Below are 19,893 nucleotides of genomic sequence, written 5' to 3' on the forward strand. Positions count from 1 at the left end.
TAATTCTGCTGTGAGACACTCAGGCAGCCCAGAGCTGGAGGAACAAACAGCCGTAGACAAGAAGCAGCAGATGGGTTTCCACGGTGATCATTTCCTGGAGTCCAAGTATCTTCTTTCTTCCTGAATGGAGGTGGAGATGCAGCAAGAGAAACAGGGAGGGGGAAGCCCAAGTCTTGGTCCCAATCCACCCAGATGGATACCTTGGCGCTCCTTGGGCAAGTCACCTCAACTCCCTGGGTCTGAGGAGGGACAGAAGGATGCCATTTGCTAGGCGCCTGCTCCACACCAGGCGTGGTATGCTGAATGCTGCACACTCACTACCTCATTTCTTTAATCTCCTTCCCAGTAAGCCTTTAGGGAAGGAGCTATTATTAGCATCCCCATTTTACTGATAGGAAACAGAAGCACAGAGAGGTGAAGTAACTTCACAGGAACACACGGCTTGTTAAGAGCACTTGAGCTGTGCTCTTAACCACAGCATTCTATAGTGCTGGGTCCCTTCCTCTGAGGGCCAGGGCCATTCCTTCTGCAGATTTCAGGCCCAGCCTGAAGCGGGAGGGAGGGAAGGAAGGCCAAGCAGGGTGCAGAGAGGAAACACTTCAGGTGAAACACGGTATTGTTAGCCCCCATTTTCTGCCTGGGCATCCTAGCCAATATGACACCTGGTGCTTCAGGCAGGAAGCACCCCCATGCCCAGGCAGCCCCCAGGCAGCTGTGACACCACCGCAGCTATGACACACGCTGCAGTGCTCAGAGCTCTGCGATGCCTCCAGAGGCATCTGTGTCCTCAAATTCACACAAAGGCCTGCTTCAATCCTGTCCTGTAAGAAACAAGTCCTCTGCCTCCTCCAGGAAGCCTCCTTCATTGCACCTGAGGCCAGGGCCTCTCCTCCCACTCAGTGCTGTCCTCTCCTTCCTGCTCTGGCTCATTCCCGTCGCCCAAAGTGATCATTTCTGTCCCACTGATCAGAGCCCAGGTATAGGATGGAGGCTCCTGGTGGCTTTGTTGAGCACTGAAAAGCCCGACGGAGGCCCCTGGCAGATCCCTGACCTCAGTCCTGCCTGCCAGGATGCCCTGGCCTTCTCTTCCTCCATCCAAGCCCCAGGGCAACCACGTGAATCGCAGGCTAGACAAGCCCAGATTCCAGCTGGCCTGAGAGCCTCCTCCACAGGGATGAAGGTAGGAGAAGGCTTATGTGTGTGCACAAATATGGGCATGGGCAGGAGCCAGCCAGCATCCCCAGGGCTGGGGTGGGAGACACATAGAGCTATTAATAGAACGGGATTAGGTATTCCTCCAAACCCCAAACCAGCTGGGCTTGGCTTCCTAGCTATCTCAACTTTGTCCGTCCCTCCATTCCTTCACTCATTCAACAAGTATTTGTTGGATACATATATCTTTAAAAAAATAAATAAATAAAGACAGACTTGCTATGTTGCCTAGGCTGATCTCAAACTCCTGGGCTCAAGAGATCCTCCCGCTGACCTTCCAACCTTAGCTACCTGAGTAGCTGGGACTACAGGTGCATGCCATCATGCCTGGCTTATTTATTTATTTATATTTGTTTTATATTTTTAAAGATGGGGTCTTCCTCTTGTGCCCAGGCTAGAATGCAGTGGCACCCATAGCTCATTACAGCCTAAAATTCCTGGGATCAAGCAATCCTCCTACCTCATCCTCCCGAGCAGCTGGGATTACAGGCATGAGCCACCAGCTCCAGTTAAAAAAAATTTTTTTTTTGTAGAGACAAAGACTCGCTATGTTGCCCAGGCTGGTCTCAAACTCTTGGGCTCAAGGGATCCTCCTGCCTAAGCCTCCCAAAATGCTAGGATCACAGGTGTGAACCACTGTGCCCAACCTGGACATTTATTTTATTATTGCTGGGGATAAGAAGGATATATGAGAACCAGACTTCTGATCTTCTTCCCTAAAACTGTTCCCCTCAGTTTTCCCCATCTCAGTTAATGACAACTCCACCCTGTCTGTGGTGCAGGCCGGACCTCACATCTAATCTATCAGCAAATCTGTCAATTTGCCCTGGCTTAAAATATACCCAGAATCCAACTACTTCTATTCATCCCACCCCTGCCATCCTGGTCCCAGCCACCGCAGTGGCTCACTTGCACTACAGCCTGGCCCAGCAGGGCTCCCTGCTGCTGTCCCTGACCCTACAGCCGGCCTCTTCCCTGCAGCCTGAGTCGTGCTGTGAAAACAAGGTCAGAGCGTACCAATCACGTGGCAGGCACACTCCTGCCTCAGAACCTGTGGCCCGGCTGTTCCTCTTGCCTGGAGCGATTTTCCCCTAGAAATATACTTCTTCACTCACTCCCTCACTTTCTCAGAAATTTACACAAATGCCAGAGTTTTTTTTGTTTTGTTTTGTTTTGTTTTTTGAGGCAGACTCGCTCTGTCACCCAGGCTGGAGTGTAGTGGCGTAATCTCGGCTCACTGCAATCTCCACCTCCCAGCTTCAAGCAATTCTCATGTCTCAACCTCCCAAGTAGCTGGGATTACAGGCGTGCGCCACCACGCCGGGCTAGTTTTTGTATTTTTAGTAGAGATGGGGTCTTGCTTTGTTGGCCAGGCTGGTCTCGAACTCTTGGCCTCAAGTGATCTGCACACTTTGGCCTCCCAAATTGCTGAGATGACAGATGTGAGCCACTGCACCAGGCCACAAATGCCAGCTTTTTTTTTTTTTTGAGATGGAGTTTCGCTCTGTCCCCCAGGCTGGAGTGCAGTGGCACGATCTCGGCTCACTGCAAGCTCTGCCTCCCGGGTTCAGGCCATTCTCCTGCCTCAGCCTCCCGAGTAGCTGGGACTACAGGCGCCTGCAACCACGCCCGGCTAATTTTTTGTATTTTTAGTAGAGACGGGGTTTCACCGTGTTAGCCAGGACGGTCTCAATCTCCTGACCTTGTAATCCGCCTGCCTCAGCCTCCCAAATGCCAGCTTTTTTATGAGGCCTCCCGTATTTCTGTCTAACATTGCAACCCATCCCATCTCCCCAGCAGTTATTGTCAAATAGTATGAGATATTTATTCATTTTGTTTCTTGCCTATTTCCCCTCCCTGGAGGGTAAGTTCCAGGAGGGCAAGATTTTTTCTGCTTTGCTCACTGCCCTTAAGACCTGCCTGGCCCCACAATAGGGGTTCAGTAAATAGCTGTTGAATGAATGAGAGACTTGTGGGGTGACAGACCAGTCAAAAAGCTGTCCCTGCCTCCAGTCCTGCCATTTCCTGTCTGATCCCACACAGACAGCCACAGCGATTTTTCTAAAAACCACATTGCTGTCTTTCAGGTCTTAGGGTAGGTATCACTTCCTCGGAAGCCTTCTCTGGCCCCCTGGGCTAGGCAGCCCCTCTGTGTACTCTCAGGGTCCCCTCCCCTCATTCTGTAATTGCCTGCAATTGCCTAGTTCTATAATTGTCTTCTCCAGGACAGCGAGCTCTGGAGGGTGGGGACGCGTCTGTCTCCCTCCCTGTTGGGAGCTGGAATGGTGCAGCGGATATAGGAGCACACTACCTGGGTCCAAGTCCTGGCTAAGCCGTGAGAATTCAGGCAAATTACTTAAGCTCCCTCGGCCTCAGTTTTCCCAACTGTAAAATGTGGATCATCACAGTTTCTCCCTCCTAGGGTTGGGGAAAGGATGAAACAAGCTGATACAAAAGAGGGATGCTTGGCACGCTGTAAGTGCAATACGAGTGTCAGCTATGATTACTCTTACTCAGGGTTGTGTTCCTGGCCTAGCTCAGAACCTGGCCCATATTCAACACTCATAAGTGTTTGTTAGATGAATGGATGACTGTGTATGGGGATAGAGGGATGAAGGAATGACATGAGGACCTAGACGGGGGCTCTAACCCAGCCTGCGGAGCATTGGAGAAGCTTCTTGTGGGGAGGGAGCTTTCAGCTGACTCCTGCAGGATGAGGAGTTGGCTGGGCACAGTGAAAGGGGGGGCGTGCGAAGCAGCCAGTGGCCTTTGTGGATGCCTCTCAGTGTGGGAGGACTGAGTTATGCAGGAACTGCAGTTCATCACCGAGTGGCTGAGCCATTAGTGCCAAGAGGCAAGTGTCCCCTTTGTGGGCCATTTTTAGGACTCTCACACTGGCTGCTCACTGAGGGCAAAACATCCCACGGTGGCTCCCTGGTCTGATCAGCAGCCCTCCAAGATCAAGGGGAGGCACGCAGGGGAAAGGAGGCCACCACTTGTTGAGGGACCTCAGGGGACAGGCCTGCGTCAACCTGGCAACCCATTCCTGGCTGACATTATGCCCATCCCAGAGATAAGGGGACAGAGGCCCAACACCCCCGAGGCAGTCAGGGGAAGAGGCAGAACCCACTCAAGTCTGTCCACTCCCTGTGCCTTCCCTCATCAGCCCAGAACTCCTCATGGCCAGAGTGTGTCTCCCCCGTCACCCCAGAGATTCCTCAGTGGCTGACATCACCCACTCCTGACTCCCCTCACAGGGCACTGACCGGGGAAATCCCTCCATGGGGCCTGGACTATGGAAGAGTCAAGTGCAGGAAGAACTTTCCATAAGGACTGGAGCAAAAGGCTGGGAATTGGAGGAGATTGGGGGTGGGGCTGCTGAAGGAGGAGAGACCAATCCTGGGGACAGTTGGGGGCACCTTACCCAATTCCTCCACCCCCGCCCCTTAACTCCTCACTTGTCTCACCTGTTGACCTTCTCATGTGCCGATTCAGAGATTCCTCACACTCAGGCTCTGACCTCCACTGACTCTGATGGCCCACAGCAGGTGCAGGGTCTAGTTTTTCTCCAGCCACAGGGCCCACAGCTGGGGTGACCAACGACCAGGAGCTCAGGATTGAAATCCCCACCCTGCCACTTCTTAGCTGGGTCACCTTAGGAAGAGTTCATCCCCTCTCTGAGCTTTCCTCATCTGTAAGAAATGACAGGTAAATCTCTGCCTTGGAGGGTGGCTGGAGGACTGAGAGACAGAGGCTGTGATAACTCATGGCCAGCTGTGAGTTGCAGTACTTGCTGGTTGGATTAGCAATTGAGGAAACTGGTTTGGAAGGGGTTAAATGGAGACCCTGCCTCCCAGCCAGGAGCGAATCAGGGCTGGGAGGGGAGGAGCCAGGCTGCTGCTAAGGAAAGAGATCAGGATGGGCCAGTTGCCGACTGGAGAGGGATGGGAGGAGATACCATAGGGTTTGGGGGGCTTGGCACAGCGGCCCTGGCCTCTGCACTGTGATAGCTCCAAGCCAGATGGTGCAAGGCAGCTGCTGGGCTGCGGGGAAGAGGGGCTGCACTTCCTGAGCTGGTGCAGCGGCAGAGTGGATAAGGATCAGGACCCCGAGCCCTCCTGGCCCTCCAAGGCAGGGGGACACCGGCTGCACCCAGGCTGTGACCTCAGCTGACGCCGATGATCCACATGGGATGCAGGGTCTAATTTTAGCTCCAGCCACAGGGGCCACAGCCCAGAAGCGTCTGCCAGCGGGCACAGGGGCAGCCAGGGCTGCTCAGGCAAGGGGAGGAGTGGGAAGACCAGCCCAGCTCCCTCCAGCCTGTCCCTGGCCAAGCCGCCTCCTGTGGGAGCTCTGACTGGTCCCCATGGCCTGGCAGACAGCCCTCCTCTCAGTTGAGGGCAAGGTCAAGGGGTGCAGCCAGGAGGGCAGGGGGACACGGCCCTGCATTCTGGACAGGGGTTGCGTCAGCCAGAGCAGTGCCCAGGGGCAGGGGTCCCTGCTGGGAGGGAAAAGGCTGGCTTGGTTGTCCAAAGGCCGAGAAGGCAGAGTCCTGAGAGCAGGGGGGCCAGGCCAGCAAGCTGGGTCCCACCTGGCCTCCTCCTGCCTGGCTGGTGACTCACTATCTGACCTTAGACAGGCGGCCTGGTCTCGATGGGCCTCAGTCTTCCCATCTGTACAATGACAGCACAGGACTAGCAGGTCGGTCCCAGCTCTGGTCTCCCGCCCCAGGCCCTGCTCTTCCTGCTTGCTGGCAGAGGCCTCCCAGCTTCCCTAGCCCTGACTGTGGGTGGCCACATGCAGTCGTGGAGGAGAAGAAAGTCCCTGTGGCTGGCACTGTCAGCCTCCTGGCTCCTGCTTGTCCTGCTGGGAGGCTTCTCCCTTCTCCGCCTGGCATTGCCTCCCAGACCTCGGCCCGGGGCTTCCCAAGGCTGGCCCCGCTGGCTGGATGCAGAGCTCCTGCAGAGCTTCTCCCAGCCTGGAGAGCTCCCAGAAGATGCCGTTTCACCTCCTCAAGCCCCTCATGGTGGCAGCTGCAACTGGGAATCTTGCTTTGATACCTCAAAGTGCAGGGGCGATGGCCTTAAGGTATTCGTGTACCCAGCGGTTGGAACCATCTCTGAGACTCATCGCAGGATCCTGGCTTCCATTGAGGGCTCTCGCTTCTACACATTCAGCCCTGCTGGGGCCTGCCTCCTCCTCCTCCTCAGCCTGGACGCCCAGACTGGAGAGTGCAGCTCAATGCCTCTGCAATGGAACAGGGGCAGGAACCATCTGGTCCTCCGTCTCCACCCGGCTCCCTGCCCCAGGACCTTCCAGCTGGGACAGGCTATGGTGGCTGAGGCCAGCCCCACGGTGGACTCCTTCCGGCCCGGCTTTGATGTGGCCCTCCCTTTTCTCCCTGAAGCCCACCCGTTGCGAGGTGGGGCTCCTGGCCAGCTGCGGCAACACAGCCCCCAGCCCGGGGTAGCCCTGCTAGCCCTGGAAGAGGAGAGGGGTGGGTGGCGCACAGCAGACACTGGCTCCTCTGCCTGCCCCTGGGATGGGCGCTGTGAGCAAGACCCTGGACCTGGGCAGTAAGTGAACCTTTTGCCTTGGGGGCTGGATGGGAGGGGGCTGGAATAGACGCAAGCCCAAAAACGAGGGTAGAAGGCAGGACTGAGATGGGAGAACCAGGTAGTCCTGGTAGACTTAGGCCTCAGCTGCAGCAGCAGGAGGGAGCCAGGTTAGATGGCAGAGAGCACTTCCATTAAGATGGGGACTTGAAGCAAGGGTTGTCTAAGGTAGGTTTTGGAATTCTCCCCTGGGGATCTTTCAAAACATAAAACACGACTCATTCCAAACCTCCTACCCTAATATTTTTTTTCCCCACATACAGTTGTATAGTGCTTACTCTGTGCTAAGCACTTATATAAATAATGATTATAATAAAATATGCTAGTTGTTAGCATTTAAGTGTTTGTGTACCAGGCACGAAAGCTCAGACAGGTTAAGTAATTTTTCTCAGGCCACCCAGCCGGAAAGAGCCAGTATTTTGATCCAGAATTGCCTATCTCCAAAGCCTTCAGTATGAGAATTCTGAGTTTTAAGTAAAAGTTTATGATCAACCTCATCAAATGCCTCAGAAGGGCCTCACAGTCACAGCTGGAAGCTGCTCCCGTGTCTAATTTTGGGGATTAACCTCTCAAAGAAACAGCCTTTGGTTATAGCAAATATGACGCAGGTCAGATCTAAAGAATTTCCTGCCAGTGAGAGGCCCTTGACATATATAAGGGACTGGGGGCCTGTGGGATGTGGTGAGCTTGTACAGAAACTCTTTCCGCCTGGGCTAGTTGGGGGTGATGCGCCTCAGGTGATAGTTATCCCCTAAGCACTCTAACCCTCTGTGTCCCCAGCAGGCCAGCAGCCTCTAAAGGCTAGCTGGGCAGGCAAGAATGGGAGTCCCTCTGAGGTTGTCCAGGGCCCCGGTGGCAGAGGGTTCCTTCTGTATCCCACCATCTCCCAGGGCCTACCTGAGTCGGGAACTGTCACTCTGGTATCCTCCTTTTGCTCCTCCCTCAGGTCTCTCTCCCTATTCTCTGCTCCAACAACATCAACTATTCTGAGCTCCACTCCCTCCCAGGAATTCTTGCCTCTGCTTGGGGCTCCCGGGACTTCTCTCGGCCAAAGGGCTCTCGTGGGAATGGGATCCTTCCACTTCCTGAAGGTACATGGAGGCCTCCAGGGAGCCCTCACAGCCAGGAGTAAGAATGGACTTGTCCCGGTCAGCCCCAGGGTCCTTTTGCTGGGACCTATCCCTAGTGGTCTCCAAGGTGGGAGCCTGAAAAGTCAGGGATCTCCCCCAAGCCCCTGCAGCTCAGCGCTCAGGCAGAAGCTCACTTTGAGCGACAAGGCTCTCCCTTTGCCATGCCCTCCCTCACTTTTCTGATGAGGCACTCAGGTACTCTTGCTTGCAGGAAGTTCTTTTTTCAGCTGACTTTAGTTACCGCTAAGCACAGTTCATTATTGATGAACCTGAAAGTGATTTCAGTCTGAACTTCTTTGAGAAACTGGAAGTTAGGGAGCTGCACACAGCAGGTAGGTGCTCATTAAATGTTTACTAATGGATCTGAAATTGGCCAGAGCCGGCCACGGTTTTCTAATTAGCGTGGGTCACCCTCTGAGTAGCATTTTTGATAAGTTTTATTTCCCAGGGGCGAAGCTTGGCAGCCTTGGACTCTGACCTTCAAGTTTTGTCTTTGGCCTCCGCCTCCCTGAAGGTGACAGGACTTGTCATCTCTGGAGTGGTTTGAGCCTCAGTTTCTCCGAAGTGCCGGGCAGCTGCCTGGGCCAGACAGCCTAGGGACAGAGTGAGAGAGATAGCCTGAATAAACAAGTCCTGGCCAGAGAAAGAGGCCATTCACAGTCCCTGCCACCTCCCCACATTCACTCAGCCGGGCGAGAGTGGGGAGAGGAGGAGGCTACATTTGAGGAGTGCCTGGCTTGGGCCAGGTGCTGTGCCAGGCACTTTACTTAAGTCACTGCTGATCCTGTCATGCACCCTTCAAGGGAGGTATTATTATCTCCATTTCAGGGTATGGAAAACTGAGGCCCAGAGAGGTGGAATAGCCCAGGGTGACAAGGTTCCCTCTTCTCCATGAGCCCCTCACTTTTCTAATCAGGCGCTTGGAAGCAGTGGAGTTGGGATTCAACCCTGTACTTCTGGCTCCAAAGCCCATGTTTTTCCACCTTGGTTGAACGGTCTCTTGTTGCTTTGGAATAAATCTCCACCCATTCAAATTGTTATTTATTCATTTTTATGAATAGGTAATTCATTCACATGGTACAGAATTCCAAAGGCACAAAAGGGCATAGAGTGAAAAGCCTCCCTTCTATCCCTGTCTCTCGGCCACCCGGTTTTCCTGCCTGGAGCCAAACACTGCTTCCAGTTTCTTACGTGTCTTTTCTGAGAAACTCTGCGTGTGTACAAGCAATATGTATATTCTCCCCCATTTTTTAACATAAATTTGAGGCATGCTTCAAAGTCCCCCAGGCTGTATCCATTGGGAACAAGGGGCACAGTCAGTACCTAGGGCCCATGATACTTTTATAGGCTCATGAAAATATTTTCATTTTTTGAAAATCAGGGCTGGGCATAGTGGCTTACACCTGTGATCCCAGCACTTTGGGAGGCTGAGGCGGGTGGATCGCCTGAGCTTAGGCAACATGGTGAGACCCTGTCTCTACAAGAATTACAAACATTAGCTGGGTGTGGTGGTGCAAGCCTGTAGTCCCAGCTACTTGGGAGGCTGAAGTGAGAGGATCGCTTGAGCCCAGGGTGTCAAGGCTAGAGTGAGCTGGGATCATGCCACTGCACTCCAGCCTGGGCAGCAGAGTGAGAGAGACTCTGTTTCAAAAAAAAAAAAAAAAGGCAGAATTAAAAATGAACTTTCAGGTAGAAGAAAAAAATTTTTTTTTTTTTTGAGACAAAGTCTTTCTCTGTCACCCAGGCTGGAGTGCAATGGCACAATCTTGGCTCACTGCGACCTCCACTTCCTGGGTTCAAGCGATTCCCCTGCCTCAGCCTCCCAAGTAGCTGGGATTACAGGCACGCACCACTACACCCAGCTAATTTTTGTATTTTTAGTAGAGATGGGGTTTCACCATGTTGGTCAGGCTGGTCTCAAACTCCTGACTTCAAATGATCTGCCTGCCTCGGCCTCCCAAAGTGCTGAGATTACAGGCATGAGCCACGGCGCCCAGCAGAAAATGTTTTAATATATAATATTGCTTGTTTTTATACCAACACAGTTATCAACTATATTCTTTTTTTATGGCAGGAGAGACTGTGAAGGCCAAAGTGCCTAGTAGGGCACATGGAAGTCACAATGCAGCCCTACCTATGGCCAGGCCCCAGCAGAGCACTGAGGCCATGGGCACAGCCACGCTGACCACCCTTGGGCACTGAGGCCCTGAGTCTATGGCAGGTACCTTACATGGTCACAGAAGCCTAAGACTTCTTCAGTGGTCACCACATAGATGCACAAGTTTCCTCTGTAACACATTCCCTGTTCCCCGCCAAAGGTGCTCATCCAGTCTCTACTTATTTCCCTTTACTGATGGGGAACTCACCACCTCCAAAGACCACCCACTGGCTGCACGCTCAACCAGCTCCATCACTAGAATTTCTGCTGAAATTGACCTCCCAGATACCTGGTCTCTTGGTCCCAGATCTATTCCCTAGTGTCTCACTGAGCATTCGGCAGCACCCACTGAGCTCCCATTCTCCACCAAGCACTCTGCTAGGCCCTAGGGATACTGAGATGAGGGAGGTACAGCCCCATCCTCAAGGAGCTCAGCCTTGTAAGAGAGACAGGCAAGTCAATTGTTTGACACACATTGTTAAGCAGAGAGAGGCTGCACCGGCTGCCTCCCTGGCTCCTCTACTCAAGAGCTGTGTGACCTCTTTGGGCTTCAGTTTTCTCATCTGTAAAATGAGATAATAACAGTGCATACCTCCCCTCCTATCTCATAGAGGTGCTGTGAGAATGAACTGAGTTAATACCTGTAAAGCACTTAGAACAGTACCTGGATCAAAGTACATACTCAATATAGGTTAGCTTGGATCATTACTACTGCAGTCCACTGGGAGGTGGGAGTAGAGAAAGCCATCTCTGGAGAGATCAAGGAGGGTTTCCCAGAGGAGGTGATGTTTCAGCTTAGACATTAAGACAGCGTAGAAGAAGGCCAGGTGTGGTGGCTCATGTCTGTAATCTCAACACTTTGGGAGACTGAGGCAGGAGGATCACTTGAGGCCAGGAGTTTGAGACAGCCTGGGCAACACAGAGAGACCCCATCTCTAAAAAAAAAAAAAAAAAAAGCCAGCACGTGCCTGTAGTCCCAGCTACTCCAGAGGCTGAGGCAGGAGAATTGCTTGATCCTGGGAAGTTGAGGCTGCAGTGAGCTGTGATGGCACCACTGCACTCCAGGCTGGGTGACAGAGCAAGAGCTTGTCTCAGAAGAAAAAGATGAGTAGGAGGACTTCCTCAGGCTGACAAGGCAGGGAGGGGCCCTCCAACGTGAGGGAGAAGGGATCTTAAAGGCACAGAGGATCAAGGGAGGTTAAGGCTCAGTGGTGCAGTTGATTCAGCCTTAACCTAGAGGTTTTCAATTCATTAGAGGTTGACTTAAGGGTGAAGGGGGCTGTACCTGGTTGGCTTCTGCTGTGGCTTTTCATGAGGTGAAGGGTGTCCTGATGCTTACTTGTGGCTTCTTCCAAGGAGGGCCTGGTGGACACTTAAGCATGGAGGGAGGACAAAGAAGGCTGGGGTCCCCTGGAAGACCCCTAAAGCAGCAGCTCTGGGGTGGTTCAGATAACTCAGGGTCAGGAGCTGGCAAATCTCTGCTCTAGTCCCAGCTCCACTCAACCCTATCTGTGACCCTGAGCCAGTCCTTGGGTCTCTCTGGGCCTCAGTTTCCCCATCTGTTCAATGGGGCATGGCCCCGAGGCTGCCTAAGTACTCCCAGGTCTGCTTCTTGGAGGTTCAGGCTCAGAGCCAAACAGGCTGTAACTGAGGAGGGTCCTAGTACCCTCTGGGCCCTAGTCATGAGTCCCACACTGAGCAGGCCTGTGTCCTGGTCCCTCCCTTTATCCCTCCCCTGGCTGGGTTGCAGGCAATGGTCCCCTGGGTGGACAATTGCCAGGCTGGCTCTGAGGAGGCTGGGACTCCTGCCCTCCCCCACAGGCACACACAGCCTGAGTGTGGCCCTGGGCTAGGGTGGTGGAGGGGGTAGGTGGGAGGAACAGAGGGAGCCTGTCCTCTGGGCCAGGGGACCTCTGGGCAGCAGTTTCCTGTGTGGTTCCAGGCTGGGGGCCCAGCCCACCTCATGACAGAGGAGCCTTTCACGGGCCTGGCTTTTAGCATCGGGGAGGGCTGGGCTCAGAGGCCACGCAGGCAAGGGGTGCTGAAAGTCTGCCTGTGGCCGAGTGGGGGAGGGCAGACGTGCATGTCTAAGTCAGGCAGGGCCTCGGAAACATCAGCGTCCGCTGCCTCCCATTTTACAGATGAGGAAACTGAGGCCAGAGAAAGGCAAGGGAGGTGTCTAAGGCCACTGAGGGCAGAGGCAGAGCTAGAATGCAGGGCTCCTGCCTCCTAGTCCAACCACAGATGCGTGGCTGGTGTGATGCTTGTGTTTGTGTTAGTGCGTCAGTGTGCGGCTGTGCATATGCATGAGTGGGTTTACACATTTGGGAGTGTGGGTGTGGGGTGCAGGGGTGTGGGGTTCTCCCATTGAGGGAGCCCAGGGGGCGAAGGTCACTGTCCAGGCTCATGTGTGGTGGGACCTCCCCATGTGCCTCTTTAGGACCCAGCGCCAGGAGACGCTGCCCAATGCCACCTTCTGCCTCATCTCTGGCCACCGTCCCGAGGCTGCCTCGCGCTTCCTCCAAGCCCTGCAGGTACAACCCCAATTTGAGCATCACCCATCCTCTGTCCCCCAGCACTCATGAGCTGGCAGGGTACTCTGGGTCCAGGCCAATGAGAAGGGGCAGTAAGCTGCCTGCTCCTTTACTCCTGGACTCAGGCATGCCTGTGTCCCCATTCACTGCACCCTCTGCAGAACAACCATAACCTCCCCTCCCTGAAAAATCCCATGTTCCTGTCCTCTTTGCCCCTTGCCCCCAACAGCAGCAGCTACTGACTTGGAACTGGGCGGGGGGTGAGTATGTGCAGGGTGGGGCTGGGCTCCCCAGTGACCTCCCCGCCCCCCAGGCCGGCTGCATCCCAGTGCTTCTCAGCCCCCGCTGGGAGCTGCCCTTCTCCGAGGTCATCGACTGGACCAAGGCAGCCATCGTAGCTGATGAGAGGCTCCCACTTCAGGTAGCTCAGAGCCCTGCCCACAGGGTGGGAACTGGACCCAGGACAGGGGAGGGACCTAGAATCCTGGATCGAGGCTGGCCTCAGTCCTCATTCCTATCTGCCTTCTATGGATACTGGTGAATTTCTCCTAGCACCAAGTCTCCCCTCTGGGGCTCCCAGAGGATCTGATGGAGCTAGAGATTCCTAAGGGTTCTGAGAGCAAGTCCTGATCCTCTTCCAGCCTCAGTTTTATCATCTCTACAATAGGATGAGCTAGACCAGACAATCCCCATGGGCCCAGCTCCAATGGCCTGTGACTGCTTAAATACCAATTTAGGGGAAGGCTACAAAAAAATTCAAACTCAGAGCGCCTCCATGGGGACTGGAGTGGGAAAGCAAAACGCATGGCGACTTTTCCATCTGATGAAACTAATTTTGTCCAGCTCTGAAAAATATATGTGTGACCTGCCTTGAATCCCCTGAGAATGGCAGAGGGGGTTAATAGTAATTACCATTTTTTTAATTGAGCCTCTACAATGTACTAAGCAATTAATGAGCAAATACTCAGGTTAAATAGCTCAACCACAGTCACGTGGTTACCAAGTGGCATTCAGACCCAACTCTGTGTGACCCCTGAATGCTTCTTTTTTTTTTTTTTTTTTTTGAGATAGGATCTTGCTCTGTTGCTCAGGCTGGAGTGCAGTGGCACGAATATGGCTCACTGCAGCGTCGACCTCCTGGGCTCAAAATTGCTCTATTACCTGGCACTTTTCTCCCTCTCTGCTCCAGGTCCTGGCTGCCCTCCAGGAGATGTCCCCTGCACGGGTCCTCGCCCTGCGTCAGCAGACCCAGTTTCTATGGGATGCCTACTTCTCCTCAGTGGAGAAGGTCATCCATACCACTCTGGAGGTGAGGGGTCTCACCTGATGGGGGTCCTGGCTCTTGACTCCTGCTTCATCCCTGTCACCTCTCCATACTTCTCTGCCACAGTGTTTGGGGAACCCCCCCCCCTTCCTTGAAGATGGTCCTGGGATGAATCTGAGACTTGGCTGTGAGATTTGGGGCAAGTTTCTTCTCCAATCTTGGCCTCAGTTTCCCCATCTTTAGAGAAGACCGCTGTGGCAAATAGATGTCAAAGCATGCACCAATGCCAGTTGACCGCCGATGGCTGCCTGGGATGCTATGTTGGGAGGGATTCTGAGTCCTGAAAGAATGTCATGACCCATTAGTGACATCTGTCATGAGTGAGGAAGGAAGGGGAAGCAGTGACCCTGCCACCATCTCCCACCTCTGGAGCAACATCATGGAGTGCCCCCTACTCTAGACTCAGCTTCTGACCCCAGGGGTCTGGTGATGCAGCTGCCACCCTCCCCAGAGCCTGGAAGGGGAGGTGTGGCCATGGTCACACAGGCCACTCGCTCTGCTCAGCTTCTCTCTCATTTTAGGTTATTCAGGACCGGATTTTTGGAACATCAGCTCACCCCTCACTGCTGTGGAACAGCCCCCCAGGGGCACTCCTGGCCCTGTCTACTTTTTCCACAAGCCCCCAGGACTTCCCCTTCTACTACCTGCAACAGGGTATGCCCTGGGGATGGGACAACCTGAAGTCCCCTCAGCTCTACCCAGGGCTGCCCCAGCCTCATCTGGAGAGCCCCACCAAGACCCTTTCCAAGCCCTAACATTTTTCCTGGCCCCCGGGGATTCCCTACTCAGGTCATTCTTCATGGGGTTCTGTTCCCTCCCACTCTAATAGCCTGTGTCTCATTCCCCCAGGCTCCCGCCCTGAGGGCAGATTCAGCGCCCTGATCTGGGTGGGGCCCCCAGGCCAGCCCCCTCTGAAGCTCATCCAGGCGGTGGCAGGCTCCCAGCACTGTGCCCAGGTCTGCCCCCTTCCCAGCTGGAGTCCTGGGATCCAGGGTGGGGGTAAGGGACAGGGCAGGGCCCTGATGACTTCCAGACCCCAAAGATGACCACTATTTGAGGGGAGGCACGGGGAAGATTTCCAAGTGTTCTTGCTGCCTCCTGTAAGTCCCAAGATTCTGTTGCCTTTTCCCCATGGAAATTGATGAAGCCACGTGAAAAGCAGATGTCTCTTGGGGAGGCTGGAGAAGGAAACATTCATTCCTTTACTCAGCAGTCATTTTCTGAGCACTAGGCCCTGGGCTTAAGGCTGAGCAGATAAAAAGTAAGGAAGGATTCTGCCCAGAGAGTCAGACTGGGTTAGCATTTTCCAGCACACAGACTGTCAAATCTTACTTCTAGAGAAGCCAGATAGATTAATAAGAGTCCTTGTAGAGGAAGTGAAGCAGTTAGCTCAGCCAGGGTGCACACAGGAAGGCTCCAAACAGGCCATTGAGCTGGGCTGGGAGTCATAAAAGAGCCTGAGGAAGAGAATGAAGGCTTCGAGAAAAGATGAGGATGGAGCATGGAGTCAGGGCCCAGGCTAGGGACTACCACAGACAACTCTCTTGAGTTCTGAAGCCACAGGTCACTACCCTCATGTCACCAGAATCCCTGCCTTCTACAAGCCCAGAGGCAAGGACAGAGCAGCGGTGAAAGGACCATGGATCCAACTAACCCTTCTCCCATGTGCAGTTTACAAAGCTGACTTCTCAAACTTCTTCCACCTTGAGAAAGATCACTCCTGCCCCTCGCAACCCGCCTTCTGCCCCAGATCCCAGACTTCAAGAACAACCCCCTATCCTCTAGATCTTGGTTCTCTGGAGCAATGAGAGGCCACTCCCATCCAGGTGGCCGGAGACAGCTGTGCCCTTGACAGTCATTGATGGGCACAGGAAGGTAAGGGATGAGGAGAGCCATGAAAGGGGTGGGCCCATGCTGGGAGCTGGGGGAGGGCACCCATGGGGTGTTTTATGAATACTTGGGCCTGAGCCGCAGTTGGGCCTGAAGAATGACACAGTAGGTTTCAGCCACAGGGCTAATAGTAATGATTCTTTTCCCTCCCTGGTCCCTGTGAGCTGTGCTTCCAGAGCACTGGGGCTTACATGATGGGGAAAGACAGAGGAGAGCGCTGACATCTCAGAAGAGGAACAGAGGAGAAACCCAGGTTCTTGAGAAAATACGGACCAAGGGCAGCACACGGGGCCAGGAAGGGGAGGCTTCTGGGAACCGTGGTTGGTGTGAACCACCTGCCTGCCGCATGGTTGTGGGCAAGTCCCTTCGTCTCTCTAGATCTGTTTCTTTCAAATGAGGGAAGTTTGACAACTCCTCCCAGAGTTGATGTGACAATATGACAATGGAGGAATTCCAAGATGTCAAAAGTGGAAGGGCCCCTAGAGACCAACTGCCCCATTTGACCAAAGGGGAAACTGAGATCCAAAGAGGTCAAATGAGTTGCCCAGGTCCCAAAACGAGCTCTGCACAGGCTTGCCATATTTGAGGCCCAGGCGTCTACACTGTGCCTGAAGGGAGGCTTTATTCATGGCTCAGGCGTCTACACTGTGCCTGAATGGCTCCTACTTATTGGATGGGGGTGGGGGGAATGTTCCAATGGCTGAGTTCCCCTCCCCCACTCCCTGCAGGTTAGTGATCGCTTCTACCCATATAGCACCATCAGAACAGATGCCATCCTCAGCCTCGATGCCCGCAGCAGTCTTTCCACAAGTGAGGTGAGGGCTGGGCCCAAGAGAAGCCCAGTGTGGGTAGACACAGAGCCAGAGGGCCCTGGCAGCCCCTCAGGTTCCCAGGGTTGAGGGGACCCCAGGTCATGAGGTCCAGCCTCTTGCATTTGAAACCACCCCAGCAAGCCAGGCAGCCTCCTCTTTAGGAGTCTCGTTGAGGCTTTCCATGGACTCTTTTGAGAAATTGTTTTTGTGGCCCCTGGAAGCTTTCATGCCACACTTCCAGCCAATTCCAAGTCTTGGCTCCCGCGCCCTCTCCCCTGAGTCCTGCCCGGGCCCCTCAGCCAGGCTGCCCCTGCCTCCATTTCCCTGGATGTTCTAGGCATTTAGGAGGTCCTTCCTCACAGCTCACTTGAGTCCCTCCCCAGGTGGACTTTGCCTTTCTGGTGTGGCAGAGCTTCCCAGAGCGGATGGTGGGCTTCCTGACGTCGAGCCATTTCTGGGACGAGGCCCATGGTGGCTGGGGCTACACTGCTGAGAGGACCAACGAATTCTCCATGGTTCTCACCACAGCCGCCTTCTACCATAGGTACAGACCCCTACCCTGCACAGGGATCAGAGTATCAGAGGACCAGAGACCCCACCCCCACCCCGAACGGAGCAGAGTGGCCTAGACCCCAGGGATCCAGGTTCAAGGCCGAGATCTGCCACTTCCCAGCTGTGGGATCCTGGGCAAATCTCCTCACTTCTCTAGAGTTTGTTTTCTCATCTGTAAAATGGGATGGATTCACCTCCCAGGGCTGGTGTGAACATTAAATGAAGTCCCTGGCACAGAGGTTCCACAAATGGTAGCTATTGTTATTTGAAGTAGAGCCATGCAGTGAGTAAGGGCAGTGTGTGGGTTTGCTGGTGGTGGGGTGACAAGAAAATAGTCCTGATGCTTTATGAATGTGGATGTTATGAGTTGGGGAACATCCCAGACCTTCCAGAAGCTGCCTGAAGTGCTCCGGTCTTAGGGCAGAGACTGAATTCTGTAAGACCTCTTTAGAGGGGTTCCTTAAACATGTTTAAATCAAATATGCATAACGTGGAACCTCTTATAGATTACTCAGGAGCTCTGCAGGGAATTCTCAGTAGAGTGAAGAATTACCTAATGTCTGCGAGATGAGGCTGGCCTGTCTGAGGGCCGTGTGAAGTGAGCTCACCCGGAGCGGTATCAGCCTGGTTCATCCACAACTGTTCTTTGGGCTTCCATGTTTGATGGCTTTGAAACCAGCTGATCCAAACCCATCTAATTCTGGCTCTGAGTTCAGCGCTCAGAGCCCAAGGATGGGGGGCCCAAGGAGCTGTGAGGGAGAGGGCAGGGAACACACCACTAACTGCAGATAAGCCACGGGGCACAGCACAATGGAGAGCTGTTCACGCCAGGGATGGGAGCTCTCTGAGGCAGCCAGGGCTCAGAGGCTTGGGGATGGGGGTCAAAGGGAGAGGTGAGGTCAGGAGGGAGGAGAATGGGGCCTGGGGATGGATTTGGCTGCAGCCTCTCCCTGTCTTTTCCTCTTGCCCAGGTATTACCACACTCTCTTCACCCACTCCCTGCCCAAGGCTCTGAGGACCCTGGCAGATGAGGCACCCACCTGTGTGGACGTCCTGATGAATTTCATAGTAGCAGCAGTCACCAAGCTGCCCCCTATCAAGGTGCCCTATGGCAAGCAGCGCCAGGAGGCTGCTCCACTGGTGAGGGCTGAGGGGGATTGGTCGGAACTGGCAGGGATTGGGCGGGGATGCCGGAGAGGATTCCCTCTCACTGTCTAATTCCAGTCTTTCTTGCTGCACGGGCGTGGGGAGTTCGGAAGGGCAGAGAAGCCCGTTAATGCATTGCTTCTTTCCCTCTTAGGCGCCTGGGGGCCCGGGGCCCAGGCCAAAGCCGCCTGCCCCAGCCCCCGACTGCATCAACCAGATAGCGGCAGCGTTCGGCCACATGCCCTTGCTGTCCTCTCGTCTGCGTCTGGACCCGGTGCTGTTTAAGGACCCGGTGTCCGTGCAGCGCAAGAAGTACCGCAGCCTGGAGAAGCCCTAGGGGGGCGACCCGCGGAGACCCCAGCAGAGGTCGCAGCCCAGCTCCCAGGGGGCCCGGCGCCTGCCGGCGGGCTCCGCTCTTGGGACACCGGAGAACCTATCATGTCAGCCAGCGGGCCCACACGTCGGACCCCGGTTGGCCAATCACAACAGGGGGGCGTGGCCTTACCTTCTCCTGCTCGCCCTCAGCCGCGGAGCCTCTGCGGAGGCTGAGCCCCGCGACCGGAGCGCCGCTCTCCGCTTCTCCACCCAGCTAACTTCTGCTCGTCTTTCAGAGCATTGTCTCCTCCAGGGACTTGCCTGGCCCTCCTCCCCCTCCGCCCCCAATGGGTTCGGTCTCCTTTGCGCTTTCGCAGTCCAGTGTTTGCCGCGGTTCCCGCACGGTCAGGCCCCAGGACTGGCTTGCGAGCCCCGGGGGGCGGGTCGTGTCGTGTCCTTTTCTCTCTGGCTAGGCAGGTGTGCCGCAAATATTTGACGAATAGATGGATGGCAGACATTAACTGCGTGCCTGGCCCTATGAGGGCGGCGGCGGGACAGGGTGAGCGGAGAGACAGAACTGTCCCCGCCCCACCCCGCCACCCATTCCTAGGGTTCCTAGTCCCGGGAAGGCAACTACCCAAAGACGCCTGGGTTGTCAGGCTCAATCCTTGAGCCTCAACCAAGGAGCAGAGGGGTGCGGGTAAACGAGGAGTGGGGCGAGGAAAGCGGGATGGGAACAAGTGGCCTGTCCCCGCACGGCCCGCGGCTCAGCCTCGGCCGTCTGCCCTGCACTACCAAGGCCGACCACTAGAGGTCAGCGTCGCGCCGCACTCTTCACCCGCATGTCCAGAGGGCGGCCGGGATGTGGAGGGTGAGCGCTGTGGGCAGCTCGGGGGCTGAAAGCTGGGAAGAGAAATCTGAAGAACAGCCCCATCTCTTTCGCCTGCACACTTGGAACTCAGCAAGAAGGGACTGTTTCTAGGTGGGCTGGGCGCGAGCAGGGACTGTCCCGAGCGGTATAGGTGAGAATGGAGTTGGGGGGGGACACTAGGTCCTCCGGGGTTCACCCACCTGGAGCTGGAATTATCACTTCCGAAATAAAGCGCGTGTCCTTGCCCCCTCACGCTCCAGGCTATAAATACCCTTACAGCAGCTGCTCGAGGGAGGGGCTCAGGGCTCAGGGCTCGCCTGGGAGCGCGTGCGAC

At 54.8% G+C, this 19,893-nt stretch overlaps 1 protein-coding gene across 3 annotated transcripts, besides 9 other annotated features; it reads left to right on the forward strand.

Annotated features, from left to right (window-relative positions):
- The first annotated feature begins 5,137 nt into the window (after positions 1–5,137).
- EXTL1 (exostosin like glycosyltransferase 1) lies at positions 5,138–19,827 on the forward strand. Of its 3 annotated transcripts, NM_004455.3 has the most exons (11): positions 5,138–6,788; positions 12,556–12,649; positions 12,963–13,070; positions 13,839–13,958; positions 14,495–14,627; positions 14,823–14,929; positions 15,759–15,848; positions 16,592–16,678; positions 17,059–17,219; positions 18,199–18,367; positions 18,528–19,827. In NM_004455.3, exons 1-11 carry the CDS (start codon positions 6,010–6,012, stop codon positions 18,708–18,710), a joined length of 2,031 nt encoding a protein of 676 aa, NP_004446.2. In that variant the 5' UTR covers positions 5,138–6,009; the 3' UTR covers positions 18,711–19,827. The 3 variants fall into 3 exon arrangements, with proteins under 3 accessions (NP_004446.2, XP_005245836.1, XP_016856139.1); XM_005245779.5 differs by lacking the exon at positions 12,963–13,070; XM_017000650.3 differs by lacking the exons at positions 16,592–16,678; positions 17,059–17,219; positions 18,199–18,367; positions 18,528–19,827 and adding an exon at positions 16,040–16,577.
- Positions 12,409–13,274: an enhancer, noted in NCBI's record as "H3K4me1 hESC enhancer chr1:26355537-26356402 (GRCh37/hg19 assembly coordinates)". NCBI's record gives its function as "activates a minimal SCP1, AML or CMV promoter by ChIP-STARR-seq in primed H9 embryonic stem cells {active_cell/tissue: H9 hESC(primed)}" and the evidence as "EXISTENCE:reporter gene assay evidence [ECO:0000049][PMID:30033119]".
- Positions 17,748–18,478: an enhancer, noted in NCBI's record as "H3K4me1 hESC enhancer chr1:26360876-26361606 (GRCh37/hg19 assembly coordinates)". NCBI's record gives its function as "activates a minimal SCP1, AML or CMV promoter by ChIP-STARR-seq in naive H9 embryonic stem cells {active_cell/tissue: H9 hESC(naive)}" and the evidence as "EXISTENCE:reporter gene assay evidence [ECO:0000049][PMID:30033119]".
- Positions 18,537–18,836: a silencer, noted in NCBI's record as "silent region_470". NCBI's record gives its function as "represses an Ori minimal core promoter by ATAC-STARR-seq in GM12878 lymphoblastoid cells {active_cell/tissue: GM12878}" and the evidence as "EXISTENCE:reporter gene assay evidence [ECO:0000049][PMID:35858748]".
- Positions 18,537–18,944: a biological region, named in NCBI's record as "ReSE screen-validated silencer GRCh37_chr1:26361909-26362072".
- Positions 18,781–18,944: a silencer, noted in NCBI's record as "fragment chr1:26361909-26362072 (GRCh37/hg19 assembly coordinates)". NCBI's record gives its function as "represses an EF-1alpha promoter that drives an FKBP-Casp9 reporter gene in an ReSE screen in phorbol 12-myristate 13-acetate-treated (for megakaryocytic differentiation) K562 erythroleukemia cells {active_cell/tissue: K562(+PMA)}" and the evidence as "EXISTENCE:reporter gene assay evidence [ECO:0000049][PMID:32094911]".
- Positions 18,977–19,046: an enhancer, noted in NCBI's record as "active region_475". NCBI's record gives its function as "activates an Ori minimal core promoter by ATAC-STARR-seq in GM12878 lymphoblastoid cells {active_cell/tissue: GM12878}" and the evidence as "EXISTENCE:reporter gene assay evidence [ECO:0000049][PMID:35858748]".
- Positions 19,057–19,146: an enhancer, noted in NCBI's record as "active region_476". NCBI's record gives its function as "activates an Ori minimal core promoter by ATAC-STARR-seq in GM12878 lymphoblastoid cells {active_cell/tissue: GM12878}" and the evidence as "EXISTENCE:reporter gene assay evidence [ECO:0000049][PMID:35858748]".
- Positions 19,157–19,296: an enhancer, noted in NCBI's record as "active region_477". NCBI's record gives its function as "activates an Ori minimal core promoter by ATAC-STARR-seq in GM12878 lymphoblastoid cells {active_cell/tissue: GM12878}" and the evidence as "EXISTENCE:reporter gene assay evidence [ECO:0000049][PMID:35858748]".
- Positions 19,577–19,676: an enhancer, noted in NCBI's record as "active region_478". NCBI's record gives its function as "activates an Ori minimal core promoter by ATAC-STARR-seq in GM12878 lymphoblastoid cells {active_cell/tissue: GM12878}" and the evidence as "EXISTENCE:reporter gene assay evidence [ECO:0000049][PMID:35858748]".

This window comes from Homo sapiens, chromosome 1 (assembly GCF_000001405.40).
Source record: "Homo sapiens chromosome 1, GRCh38.p14 Primary Assembly".
In the NCBI taxonomy this organism is placed as follows: Eukaryota; Metazoa; Chordata; class Mammalia; order Primates; family Hominidae; genus Homo; species Homo sapiens.

What these genes read in the sequence shown, in the direction of transcription:
- EXTL1 (NM_004455.3), top strand. Translation starts at nt 6,010, where the DNA reads ATGCAGTCGTGGAGGAGAAGAAAGTCCCTGTGGCTGGCACTGTCAGCC. An exon ending in CAAGACCCTGGACCTGGGCA is followed by an intron (nt 6,789 to 12,555) that starts GTAAGTGAACCT and finishes GTGCCTCTTTAG; the next exon opens with GACCCAGCGCCAGGAGACGC. An exon ending in GCCAGGAGGCTGCTCCACTG is followed by an intron (nt 18,368 to 18,527) that starts GTGAGGGCTGAG and finishes TTTCCCTCTTAG; the next exon opens with GCGCCTGGGGGCCCGGGGCC.